Source organism: Homo sapiens, chromosome 13 (genome assembly GCF_000001405.40).
Source record: "Homo sapiens chromosome 13, GRCh38.p14 Primary Assembly".
Classification (NCBI taxonomy): Eukaryota; Metazoa; Chordata; class Mammalia; order Primates; family Hominidae; genus Homo; species Homo sapiens.
Window position 1 is genome coordinate 65,927,417 of NC_000013.11, and position 14,896 is coordinate 65,942,312.

General features: G+C 35.8%; 1 long non-coding RNA gene across 1 annotated transcript; it reads left to right on the forward strand.

The window, feature by feature from the left end:
• On the forward strand, positions 8,871–9,751 carry LOC105370244 (uncharacterized). Its single transcript, XR_001750019.2, has 3 exons — positions 8,871–8,965; positions 9,106–9,149; positions 9,635–9,751. It is a non-coding gene; the product is annotated as an uncharacterized LOC105370244 (long non-coding RNA).
• The last annotated feature ends 5,145 nt before the right edge of the window (positions 9,752–14,896 follow it).

Consider the following 14,896-nt stretch of genomic DNA (forward strand, 5'->3'; position numbering starts at 1 on the left):
CTCTGACGTCCACCTGCTTCTCCTCTCTGCCGGCTTAGTCTGAGGTTTTTATAGGGACAGGATGCAGGGTGGAGGGGTCATGGGTAGTTTAGGAAAAGGCAACACTGGAGCAGGAAAACAGGGATAGAATTTCTCACTTTGGGCAGTGGGTTTCAGGCTTTTGGGTTTAAGAGTGGGGTTTCGCTGGGAACCTGCACTTTTCTGCCTAGAATTTCTCAGCCTCATGTCCTGGAAACCAAATGAATAAAATATATTGAAGAAAAGAGAGTGTCCAACTGCTACTGAAAGGTCAAATTCTACTGACAGTTTATGTATACGGGGAGGGAGAATTGACATTAGAGTTTACCAATATAAAGATCAATAGTGTTCACGGAAAGAAAAATTTTGATGAAGTAATAGGAGCAACAGTGGGCTTAACAGGGAGTGAAAATAGAAGAATTAGACACAATTAGTATTGACAACTCTTTCAAGGAGTTTTGCTTCAAAGGAGAGCAGAAGAATAAAGCAGTAGAAAGAAAGCAATGTTTTGAAGACTGACAATATAGCAATAAATTTGTACAGATGGAAATAATTCAATGAGGGGAAAGGAGTAGTGATATAGGCAGGAAAAGAATTGAAGGAATGTTCCTGAGTAGAGAAGAAGAGATGGAACCTAAGAAGGCCTTAGGAATACATAGTTCATCTGTGGAAGAGAAGTTGAATGAGGAGGGAAGAAAATTGTAAAAGGTGTTAAGAGAAGGGGAAATTAATGAACTAAGGAAATATGATTTCTAGTCAGCATTAAAAGCTCACATGAGGTTTGCAGTCATGAAATTAAAGTCAGACCACCAAGATGATATTTCTTTTTCCATACATGGTCTGTTGCTTTGGGTCCAGGTATAGAATATTGAGAAAATCAGACATATCAGGATTAATTTTCCAAGTGAGTACCACAAACTAAGAAAACAACAAGGAAGCTAGACATATTGAAAGGGATTTAAAGTGATTATTAACTATGAAATTTAAGCCAGATTAGGAGATAAATAAAAACTTCAAAGAAGCAAAAGATTACTAAAACCAGTAAAATAAGTAAATTGGAGATCCTAATAGTGCTAAAAGATTTTTAGAGTCAAAAACCTATGGGAGTGAGATGCATAGATAGGAAGTAGTTATCATGGAATGTGATGCATAAAACTGAAATTATAGAGAAATTGCAGTGAAGCAAGGTCCAAGGCATGACCATGAGGGTGAGTGACTGAGATAGAGGAAAGAAGGAGAATTTAAGAAATTGAGAATTCAATGTTTTCAGAGAAGTATCTATGTATATAGTATAATAAACAGGATTAAAATAAACAGGAGTAATGAAGAGAGTTACAGTAAACCAGGAACTAACAAATGGGGAAATGAGGAGGAATAACACAGGAAGCTGGACAAAACAATGAGGAACGGTAGGTGATTTGTAGTCCAATTACATGATATTCAAAGTTAAGTATTCATTATATGAACAGAACTAAAGACAAAAAAACACAGGATTATCTCAATAGATTCTGAAAAGGCTTTTGATAAAATTCAACATCCCTTCATGCTAAAAACTCTCAATAACCAGGTGTTGAAGGAACATAACTGAAAATAATAAGGGCCATCTATGACAAACCCACAGCCCACATTATACTGAATGGGCAAAAGCTGGCAGCGTTCCCCTTGAAAACTGGCACAAAACAAGAATGCTCCCTCTCACCTTCAACATAGTATTGAAAGTCCCATCCAGAGCAATCAGGCAGAAGAAAGAAATAAAAGCATCTAAATAGGAAGAGAAAAAGTCAAACTATCTCTTTTTGCAGATGACATTAATCTGTACCTAGAAAACCCCATGGTCTCAGCCCAAAATCTCCTCCAGCTGATAAACAACTTCAGCAAAGTTTCAGGATACAAAATCAATGTACAAAAATCTCCAGATCCTTAACTAATTGCATCTGCAAAGACCTTATTTCCAAATATGGTTCCATTCACAGGTTCTGGAGAACAGGACATCAACGTATTTTGGGGGTCGCCATTCAGTCCATTACAATAGTATTCAGTTCCCTCTGGAGACTCTAGGGGAGGATACTGCTGCATTCAGGACCCATTCTAACCCAAGATGATCTCATCTCAACTAATTCCATCAGCTATGACCCTATTTCCAAATAAGGTCTCATCCTGAGGTTCTGGGTGGATGTGAATTTGGGAGAAATACTCTTCAACCCACTATACCTTCCAGTGCTGACTAACGTCTGTATTTAAATAAACTCTGCAATTATCTCAGAAGACTTCCAGAAAGAAACACGTGGTGAGTAACATCTATATTTACATAAACCCTGCAGTTATCTCAGAAGACTTCCAGAAACACAGGGGGAGCATGAAACCAAACCCAGAAGGCTTAAATGAAAACAGGGATTAGGCCGGGCGCAGTGGCTCACGCCTGTCATCCCACCACTTTGGGAGGCCAAGGCAGGTGGATCACCTGAGGTCAGGAGTTCGACACCAGTCTGACCAACATGGTGAAACCCCGTCTCTACTGCAAATACAAAAATTAGCCAGGTTTGGTGGCATCCGCCTGTAGTCCCAGCTATTCAGGAGGCTGAGGCAGGAGAATTGGTTGAACCCAGGAGACATGACTCAGTGTCATGTCATTTCCAGGAGACTGGATGAATTTTATCACATGAAGAGACTGGTGTTTTTCTCACCCCTATATTTCCTATTGCCCTATAGATGGAATAATCTTTTGGGCCCCTTAGCAGCATATAGGCAAATTATGGATTCTCAGGTCTCATGAATTAATGTACTTTGCTATCTCCATCTTTGTTACTCTTGTGATTTTGTTGTTGTTGTTGTTGTTTTTTGAGACGGAGTCTTGCTCTGTCATGCAGTGGCGGGATCTCGGCTCACTGCAAGCTCTGCCTCCCGGGTTCACGCCATTCTCCTGCCTCAGCCTCCCAAGTAGCTGGGACTACAGGTGCCCACCACCATGCCCAGCTAACTTTTTGTATTTTTAGTAGAGATGGGGTTTCACCGTGTTAACCAGGATGGTCTCGATCTCCTGACCTCGTGATCTGCCCACCTAGGCCTCCCAAAGTACTGGGACTACAGGTGTGAGCCACCGTGCTCGGCCTAATCTTTTCTTAAATAAAATACTAAAGAAGTCCCAACCACTATATCATATTGCTATAAATTCATAATCACTTAAATGGCAATAAAAGCAAACAGAAAAATTTATTAGAGCCACTGGCAAAAACAGTGAATCTTGTGTAAAGATAAGTACCTTTATATGATTAATTTATTATGATATGATAAAATCCACTCTCACACACATTCTCATGATTCTCATTGATGCTTCTTGTCCAAAACCTGCAATTTTTTAATGATATAGGCCATTTTCTCTTAGCAGGGACTGTTATTCCTGTACTCATACAACTCTGACATGTTCTTATAGTAACACACCTAAAGCCAATTAAGAGTAGCAAAGGCAGATCTTAAGAAAAATTATCATCATTTTTGATACACTGATTTTAGTTGAATTGTTGCATGGGCTCAGGACAAATTATCTCAGGTGTATATACCTAAATGTCATAATCTCAAATCTTAGAAACACACTCATTCCCTAACATATCCCAGATTTCCGGGGCTGTGAAGAGGTACACTAATTTATAAGATGTATATTCTTCAAGGTACTAAACCTTGAAGTCTTCAGCAGATCAATGAATTTCCAAGAAAAGGGAGCCTGTGTGGCCTGACTAAATGTTCAGATATTTAATAAACTAATCTACAGTGGACACATTTTGTACTTTATCAGGATGTGATGATGAAAATTGCTCCCCTCGTGCTTTAAAAATATTAATACTAAAATACTTTCCTTTAATTTTACACTTATTACATGTATTAATATAGAACTTTTTCTCAGACTGATACAATGTCAGATTCTTTATTCTTTCAAGAGGTATCTTAATTAGATTTCATTATGAACTCCATACACAAGAGCTCGTTGGCATTTATCATTTAAGAAATACCACAAGTTGTAAAGCTGAGCTAGGGAGCAGACATTTATATTAGAAACAAGGAAAAAAAAACAGTTTTTGTAAGATGTTGATTCATAGTGAAAAATATAAATTCTGAACAGTTGACACATGGAAGGCAGGGATGGGTGCCTCTATTTTGTTAAAAGTAGAATGAAAATATATCAGTATAATAATTCAATTAAATAGGCTGTCATATCACAACTTTCAATGTGCCTCTTGGCTTGTTAATTTTTAATGACATAGTTATGTCAAAAATTAAAATAGAAATTCCATTTAATTTTTTCAAATAGGATCTCCATTCAATTTATTAAATTTCATTCAGTTCTTATGAGTAGTTTTGCTATGTTTTGGTTGTTCTTTGTTTTCCAGTTTTGTTTTATGGTAAAACAAAATCAAAATGTCACTGCAAGAAAAGGAGCTATGCTAGTTGATAGAGAAATAAAAAAATATAAAGAAGAGAAAAGAGAAAAAAATTGTACTTTCTTCAGAAATACAGTGTTTTGTGTTGTGAGATGACTCTGTTCTAACCCCTGATACTGTAAAATACTACTGCATGCAATACAAATGGACCTCAGATTGTAGGATTGAACCACAGACCCCTGGGCTTATTTAACAAAAAGTAACTCTCTTTAGCTTTTCCCTTTCCACTTCCTGGGGTCACCTTTGACTGCACTGAAGAAAGGAGCTCTAGAAGCACTCCATATAACTCCCTTTACACTACTGTCAACTCGTGTGGCCTCTCCTTTCTATCTTGCCTCTACTGGTGGTAGTTCGCAGATTCTGCTGTGGTTTCTTGGCAAATGTGTGAAATTTCTGTGAGTTTCACTAAAAGAATAAAAACAAACTGGTATATAATACTACCTAAAAAGGACAAGAGAAAAGAGAAGGTAAAGGAATTTTTACCTTTTATTTTTCCCCACTGTTGCATTGTGAAATACTTTTCTACTATTTGATATATTTAATTTAAATTTATGAAATCCCACTGGGGAAAAAAGTCTACAAAGCATTTACTCAATTCCGCTTAATCATGGACTATTATTCCCCCAACTCACCTCAGCCATTAAATAGCCACTCCCTTCCTTTCATTTCATCTAAGATTCACGTATTTTATAGGTCAAGTCAGCTTACGGACACTGAATTATAATAAGTGTCAGTCTAATCCTTTCAAAAGCCTTTTTTTAAGTATATCTTTGCACACTATAATTTCTTACCAACCAGAAGGGAAGTCGTTAGAAGCTGTACTTATTTCAAGTTATCAGGCAGAGTAGCAGGAAGGTAACATGTGTTTTACTATCTTTGTAGTGTTAAAACCATTTGCTATGCTAGTATGTCATAGAATAAGTGGTTGATATATAACCAGACTGTTTTCCGTGCAAACTATGTGCTTAAGAGAGGAGGCAGAGAACAGGCAAGGTACATACCAGCAGGCTGGAAACCCCTCAGCACAAATTTCTGAGCCTAAATCTTGTTGTAAAGGTCACATATTGTGTTATATAATTGTCAGCTTGAAAAGTTCTTTGATAGCTTGAACTTTACTACTTGTAAAAAGTGCTGGGCTGCCAAGTAGAGTACATTTTCCAGGTTTCTGAGTCCATGCTTGAGCTAAATAAAGTGTGACAAATCCCCTGAGGGCAACCCAGGCTTTTCATGCCATAGGCACCTCTGACTCAAAAGTTACAGCCTTAAAGTAATATAAGACGGCACAGCCAACTACAGAGGTTGCCTGAACCAGGAAGGAAATTCTCCTGAGATCATGTATATGTGACATCTCCAAAATGCTTCGGGAGTGACCATAAAATACAATGTATGATTTTTTTTTTCTATAGAAAACAGCTATTTTAATAAAATAAAGAGAATCCAACCATTTGGATTTGATTTTCTTTGTCCTGGCCAGCTAATTTAACTGACATTTGTAGGAATCCACTTTGAAATAAATTGATGAGTCTAAAAGGACAACTTCTAACTATGAACAACTAGCACTTAACCATTGGTTAAGCATCTCCCCATATCTCTGTTATAGAAACCTGACTATAAGCTATTTCAACATACACACACACACACACACACACACACACTTACACATATACACACACACACAGGCCTGCCTTTTGAAATGATTTTTTTAAACTATCATAACATTGGTATGTTTCTTAACAGTCGTTGACCAGCTTTTAAATCCAATTTTACCTGTGAATTTCTTATGAAAGTGAAATGAAGGTGTTTCTGACCTATATCCCTACAAAAAAATTGTTTCTTTTCATATTCCAAATATCAAAAGTTAGGAAGAATTGACTTCACAGCAACTAAGTGGCTTAAAAAGGTTAAGGAAAATGGTCAATATAAAAACATACATTACTGGGTTTCGCCAAAAGGAAGCCATATTCCCAGATGCTCTGACCGGGAAAATGAAACAGCTCAATGTGAGGCAGAAAAACCTCTCCCTTTCCATTTTTATTGCCATATTTTTCTACCCGTTTCTCACATGGCACACAATAACTTGGCCATTCTCTTCACGGTCAACTTTAGGAATAACCAGAGAAAGTAATATTGTCTATCCACTGGACAATAGGAAAGTTCTCCACCCTTAGCCCAATTCAAAGAGATGCTGTGCCAGGTGTCACAGGTTGTCAGTCCTGGAATCTCAGGTGTCCAGTCAGAGGAGGAAGGCCCATCAAAGCAGAAGTGGATATGAATATTCACAATGTGAAAACAGGAGAGTCAAGAGTACTTTGCATATCACTTAATTCAATTAGTCAGGTTTTACAAAATGATTTGTGCCTACAAATAACTTTCCAGAAATTTCTAGAGGAAAGAGAAGCAGTTGGTATTAAAATAAGTTAGAAAAATACATTCTTGTTAATTTGCCAGGCTCATTTATATATTAAAAACTTTGGAAAGTCACAGTAAGAAAAGCTGTATACTAGAGTTAAAGCAGGCATTTTTTCCAAATGCATTTAACAAATCAATCTCTTGTATTTTTTAAACAATACTTATTAGCATCCTCCTGTCCCATGAAGCAGGACCTGGGGAGGTTTGGAGAAGATCATTCCTGATGTGTGCTTGACTTTTGAAATCATGCCACTACCAAGATGTACTACAAAATGATCAAACAATATCAAATAACACTTGGAAACAAACGCTTTCTTTAATGGAAAAAGAGATAATCCACTTGTGATTTTAGTTCACAGATGTAAAGAACTGAAAAAAAGTATCCCTCCTATTTTTACAATAAGTGAAATCCTGGGCAAACTTCAAATTAATGATTTTCTGAATCCTATCAAAAAACTGAGGTTACAGAGCAGAGTAACCTAACCCGGAATCTGGAGAGGCTGCCAGCAGGTAGAAACAAACCCAGGCACTTGCTTAAATGAGATGATGCTACTGGATGCATCTGGATTCATCTAAGTTGGGAAGAAAATTCAGTGAGAAATTCTTAAAACTTGCTAACCTCCCAAGTGTGGGATTTTATGAGAGTGTAAAAGCACCCTCAGTGTAAAAACACCAAAAGGAGATGGAAAACTGTACTGATGGCCACAGACGTAGGTGGGGGTTCCCATCTCCTTGCAGGCTTTTTCTCCCTGGGACACCACCAGTTGCCAAATGAGAAACTTAGAGAGAACCCTAAGAGAGGAAGAGAGAGAAGAAAGTGGGAGGGATGTGGGAGAGAGAAAGGAAGAGACAGAAAGAAAGAGAAAGAAGAAAGAGAGAAAGAAGGTGAGAGAAGAAAAAAAGAAAGAAGGAAAAACACTTACAAGGAAAATAAAAACTGTAGCCTGAAGGTTCTGGTAGAAACTTTCTATAGCTGGAAGAGGAAAGAGAAACCCCAACTGAGCCAATTAATCTTTAAGGGTGGCCTGGATTCAATAACTCATTTGTGTTAATTAACGTAGGCAAGGTAAACTAATAACTTCATAGAGAAACAGGCAGAGGCCATCTTTTTTAAAACCAAATGATCAAGTTTAATATCACCAGTAGTAAGTTGTGTTGATATCATGTTCCCTGATAAACTGCAACAAGAAGGTAAATTCGCCTAAGTGCTATTTTTTTTAAAATCTTAACCTCAAGCTAACAATGTGAAAACCCAAACTGATGACCATTCTATTAATATTTCACCAATACTCTTCAAAATTTTCAATGACATTAAAAAGAAAGACTTGAGCAACTGTCACAGATTGGAGGAGACTAAGGAAACATAATGAATAAATGCAATGTGGTAAACTAGATTGGATTCTGGAACAGAAAAATAACTTTATTGAAAAAACTAGTGAATACTCAATAATGTTTGTAGTTTAGTTCACAGTATTGTACCAATGTTAGTTTCTTAATTTTGATAAACACATCATGGCTATGTAAGAGGTTAACTTTAGGGTAAACATCAGTAAAAATGTAGAAAAACTCCCTATACTATCCTTGCAAATCTAAACATCTAAAATTATTTCAAAATAAAAAATTTTAAAGACGAGTGGTAATAACTTAATCCCCCCGCTGCCATATCTAATGGAATCTTATAAGACACACTTGCTTATATTTTGTTTAGAATGGCAGATAGAAATAATGATGATATCTACGTTTTTCCTACTTTATGACTTTTATATTTTAAAAATATATCAATGTGCTGAATCAGAAAAAAAACAGGAGTTCATAAGCTGAATTAATTATGAGCAGGATCTTTCTTCCTCATACCTTATTCATCTGTGTTACAGTATATGAGTCCAACATGATGTACTCTTATTCCTGAACATGTTTCATTTCCATTTACATTTTCACAATTTGACATTTCTCTTTCCTCTCCGCTCTTCTCTTCTTGTCATATTTTTAATATTGCATGCTTTTTTCCAGCCTGTATACCAGTGCTATTTAAAGGAAAAGAATTGCAGTGAAGTAATAGTTTGACGGCTCCTGAACTGCAGTGTATACTCCTAGATGAACCAAAGGTATTTTAAAAACCTTGCCATACTTTATATCTTAACACTTGTCATAGAAAGACAACACTTAGTGACACTGGTTGAAAATCCATGTTTGGATTTCATTGTCACATCATTTCTCTCGTTCTCTTTTGCAAAATGTCTTCTAGATTGATAAATTCAAGCAAAGCATGAGAATTATCAGACTAAAAATGTAAGTATGTGAATGGTTCAATATACATGTAGACAAATGCAACATTAACTTAAATTCTGGTGGCATCATATAACTGCAAACTAGAATTTAAATTAAAATTCCCAGTCTCAAAATGTAGACACTAAAAATTGAAATTACATATTTTAATTTAGTTTATTCAAAATCACAGTAATGTTTTACAGATCTTTATGTGGAACAAAGTGTGGTGACACTGATGAGCAGAATTAGTATCATCTGGGAGCTTATTAGAAATGGAGACTTGGGCCCCACCCAGGATAGACTGAGCCAGAAGAATATGCATATCAATAAGAAAGCCAGATCATTCAACAAGCACATTAAATTTTGAAAAGCACTGCTGTAGACAAAATCCAATGTGCTTTATAGCTATAAAATTAAATATTGCTGTATTTGTAAAAGAATACTGTTGTACTGTGACCATTAGTTATTGTATGATTTTGAAACATGAATATGATACACTATTACAGATGAATGAGTTGAGATTACAGCAGGATTCAGAGATAAGCAGAACTGCCAAAACTAAGCCTGGAAGATTTAAATTATTAATGAGGTCTTGATAGATGTAATTTACTACATACTCTCTGGTAAGTATATATCCTTTTAGACTCAAATATGTAACTGATTTGAAAAGGCTATAATCATCTGCTGGAGTTGAAAGTATTGTTCTCTGATCCAGTAAAAGAATCAGGTGACCAATACATTTGTTTTGGTATATCAGGAATTGAATGGTTACCTTTATTTCCTGGTGTAGAATGGCATCAGGAGTGCAGAAGAAGTAGGAGACATCACTGAAATCAGAACAGCCCTTCAGAAGCAAGAGAGTGTCTGTATTTATTACTATAATTATAGTTACTAACCCTTAGTGGAGGCCAGGCATGGTTCCAAATGCTTAATATTTATTACCTCATTTATCCTTTCTAACAACCCTAGGAGAGTGGTATTATCATTGTCTCTATTTTACGGATTCAAAAAGAGGGGGAGAGAAAAAGTAAGCTATTTGTTCATGAGAGTTCATAGTAGAACCAAGTTTTGAAATCAGTCTGATTTTAGATCCTCACTCGTAGCTGCTATCCTTTCCTTATATATATTGGAAAGTCACCATTTTAGCTGATTTTATTATTTACTAATGAAAAGTTGACTTATGACTCTTCATAGCTGATAGTTTTACAATATGTATCTTGATTTGCCAAATTTCTACATTGTTTTTGAAATTTAAAAAATTTCCCTATAGAGAAAAATATGTATGTGTACACATATATATTTCTTACTAGAGCTATTCTTATACTAGATAGCCATAATAATTATAATTCTCTCTCTCTCTCTCTCTCAGTGTGTGTGTGTGTGTGTGTGTGTGTGTGTGCATGTGTGTTTAATCATAAAATTGAGAGGATAAATAACAGACAGACTCTCCTGGAATAAAGGTGCAAAGGGTGAGTATTGATGAGGAAATTGAAAGAAAGAATATATATGAGAATTTAAAAAAGAAATTGCTTCAAGGTGAAATTACATGAGCTGGGAGAGGTAGAAAGAAGAGCTAAGGAGAAGGAAGAGAAGGTTATAGCACTGTTTTGTGTACACATTTCCCCTGGAAAGCAGGAATACCAATGTGGAGGCACGGGGAGAAGGAAACAGGGCGGCCCATATTAGAATCTTAGGAGAAGGTACATGTAGCTTGAATATACACATTTGATATTTCACATTTTTTTTAAATATAAAGAAATATATTTCTGTGACAGAGCCCCAGATATCAACACATTCTTAATGGGTAGTCCTGATGGGTAACAGAAACACTAATTCTAAATTAGTCCCACGAATACCCCTTAAATGCTTGCAACAGAATCGGAGGCAGAGGCAGGGAATCCTTGACATAAAAAAGTAAAAGTTGTAAGGATATGATTGTACATGTAGAAAATACTAAGGAATTTACAAAAACACTACTAGAACTAATATGTGAGTTTAGTTAGGTTGAAGAATACAAGGTCAGTATGTAAAACAAAAAGTTTGTTTCTATATACTAGCAATAAACAATTACAAATTACAAATTTTAAATGTTACTATTTATAGTAGCATTAAAACCTTGAAATACTCAGGGATGAATTTGACTATATATACATATATGTATGTATATGTATGTACGTATGTATATGTACGTACGTATGTATATGTACGTACATATACATATATACATATATATATGTGTACACACACAATACTTATAGTCTGAGAACTACTAAATAAATGGAAAATATACTGTGTTCTGGGATAGAAAACCTCCATATTGTTAATATTTGTCGATTATCCATGATTTGGTTTACAAATCTAGTGTAATCCTAGGCATTTGGATCTTAATACTCATGGTTAGTGTTAGCTATTGACCTGAAAGTATCATTTATTTTATATTTAACCTTTCTTTTCATTCATAAGTAATCACTGATTCAAAAATTTCTCTGAATATACATGTATGTATTAAAGCCAAATAATATGAGTGAAAATAAAATCCAAATTTTTATCCTTAAAAAGAGATTTCTTTTTTTATTTACAGAGAACATGGATTTTAAAATGTTCAGATAGACTTCTTTAGAGAATAAAGGTGGAGTAAATACTGAAACCAAATTTTAATTTTAGCAACCAGTAAAAGCTGTCAGGCCAGGGCAGGGAGGTGGAATGTATCCAGGGAAAAAGGCCTGTCCACCTGGCTCTTCACATGTATAACACATCCCAGAGCTACAGGACTTAGCAGAAATTGAGCTGGGGGAAACTGGGTTGGAAGAAGGGATGAGTTCAACTTGACTAAAAGTGGTGTCTCAAGTAGGCAGCATAGGCAGCACCAAGCTTCTACATAAAGAGGTACAGATAACAATGCTAGAGGTGAGAACAAAATAGTCAATCCAGTGAAAACTGAATTATAAACCAGCTAGATATCTCAGAATAGTACAGTAGAGAATCAGGATATGGCATCTCTGAAACTTTGCCAAAGTATTTGCTGCTCTCAGCCAGCTCTTATTGGCCTGGTTGTCATGCTTATCTCTCGAGGAACTTTTTTTTTTTTTTTTTTTTTTTAAGACGAAGTCTTGCTCTGTCGCCCAGTCTGGAGTGCAATGGCGTGATCTCTTCTCACTGCAACTTCTGCCTCCTGGGCTCAAGTGATTCTCCTGCCTCAGCCTCCTGAGTAGCTGGGATTACAGGCACCCACCACCACGCCCAGCTAATTTTTATATTTTTAGTAGAGACGGGGTTTCACCATGTTGGTCAGGCTGGTCTCGAACTCCTGACCTCAGGTGATCCACCCACCTCAGCCTCCCAAAGTGCTGAGATTACTGGTGTGAGTCATCGTGCCCAGCCCATCTCTAGAGGATTTGAAAGGCACTGCACATCCTCAAATATTTGGAGAGGAAAGAGGAGTCTTATGAGGTTTACAAGGTCAGTAAAATTATGCTTCATTGTTTATAAATGTTCTATTTGAAGTAACTTAATTAAAATAATTCCCTTTTCCCTGTTCCACGATAACATGCACTACATGTATGGAAAATTAATGAAATGCTATCTTTTGGCTAGACAGAAATTGTCATTATTACTGCAAAAGATGAATCTTAAACAGTATTCTAGAAAAAGAGCTGGACTGAGAGCCAGGACCCTGGCTTTGCCATTGTGCTCCTGGGCATTTCACTTATTCTTTCTTAGATTCAGTTCTCTCATCTGTAAAATGAGCAGGTTGGGCCAGATAATCTCTGAGGCCTATTCCACATCCATAATTGTACAAATCCATCATTATTATCACTACTTAATGTGAACAGCTATCTTGTCAGTGTATACATATACTGATTCAAAGCTGTTGGCTTAATATAATGAGACTTTAAAAAATGTCTGTTTAATTTTTCATAGAAAGAAAACTGAAGTAACGGATTGAACAAATTTTAAAATAATGTAATTTAGGATGCTGATGCTTTTATTAGAATAGATAAAACATGGTTTGATTTCCTATAACATCTATTCATGTTGCACCCTCTTCCAATATTTTCATACAGATTTTCCCTCTGCCAACAGCAGTAACCAATTTTAATTGAATGGGGGAAAACAGTTCTGATTGTCTATGTCATTCTATTGGATTTCATATCATTGAATTTCAAACCAGTTTCACTGGGACCTGCCAAGAGTGGCTTATGCCAACCTCTGAGTCTCCTTGTTATACTTCTATCCTGGGTAGCATTGTTTGCCTTTTTGTCTGCTCTCTGATTAAACTGACATCATTTTGCCTTTTGTGACTCTGGTGTCATTTTCTGTTGACAGTGTCTAGTAACGGTAACAGAGTGGTGTCCTTGTGGAATGGGTAGCAGCCATTGATTGGTTAGGTGTATTAATGCTGGCCTGTTAAATGACATGCAGACGTGTCTTTGTGCTAAATGGCAGCTGAATGGGTGCCAGCGAGAGAGGTTATTAAGCACAGATAAGAGGCAGCACCTCTATTCACTGGCAATGTCACTTTCTCCCATTTGAGGAGAGACATTTGTTCAAGACACTTTTTTTCTCCTCTCACTGACAATACGTAAGGCAGAAAGTTGGTGTCTACGTTGCTGCATGGCTGCAGAATAGATTGTTTCGAGAAGGTGAACTCTGGAAAGGTACATTTAGAATGGTTTTTACTTAAAACTGTATTTCAATGAATGTAAACCTTCAAATAACAAAACTTAAATTGTTAACACTATCAGAAAAAGCAATCGAAAGCACAGTGAAAACAGGTGTCACTTATCATTGCTCTTTATCATTTGGAAATGAAGAAATAATTTTATCTTCTCAGGTCTTTAAAGAAAATATTGCCTTTTAGTATTAATATTATAAAATATTAAACATTTTGAAATAAGCAAACAGCAAAATATAACAGAACTATAAAACTTTTCAAAATAATTTAAGAATAAAGTGGTGAAAATATTCTTTGTTTTCATTTTATTGCTTAAATTTTCAGGTATGAATTGTATATGGTTTCAGATATCAGGTATATAACAGACTTAACATTGTACTTACTATTGAAAGCCAAAAAAGTCTTTCTGTTCTGAGGAAAATGTCTTCAGTTGTCCTCTTCCCGTTACAAATTAAGCAATGCTGACATTTTCTGTTCAGGTTTAACTGATACTGGCTAGGCTTGTTATTTGTGGTTTTTGCTTTACTTTGAAATATTCCCCAAATCCTAACTTAGAATCAATCACACTTTAAGAGTTTAGCCTGTTGCAATGATTTATCTCCTATATCTTCCTTCAGTCTCCAAATTTCTATGAACATACTCCTTTTTGTCTTAACATAAAGCAATTCTTAAGATTTGCTTATAGAATGTATTAAATATAATTACTAAGTTTAAAACATTCTGCTAGGCACTAAGGACAGAAACAAATGGACAAATATTAATCCCCTGCTTCCATTATGTTACCTCTTTGAGCCTCTATTTTCTTTTCTGTAAAATGAGAATTGCAGTATATCAAAAAGTTGTTCAGGGGTTTTAAATGAAATAGTGTATAGGAAGCACATAGCTCATTGCAGGATGCAGAGTTAATGATTACTAAACATAATGTCTTTATCCCCAAACCATCATAAAATAATTAAATCACAACCTCTAGGTTCTACTGTGTTTGAACCATGTATCAGATTTGTCCAAGAACCATTCCTTATAGATAATAATCAAGAGATCAAGAAGTGAGATACGATCTCTGACATGTTTATTCGTAACTCAAATAGAAGAC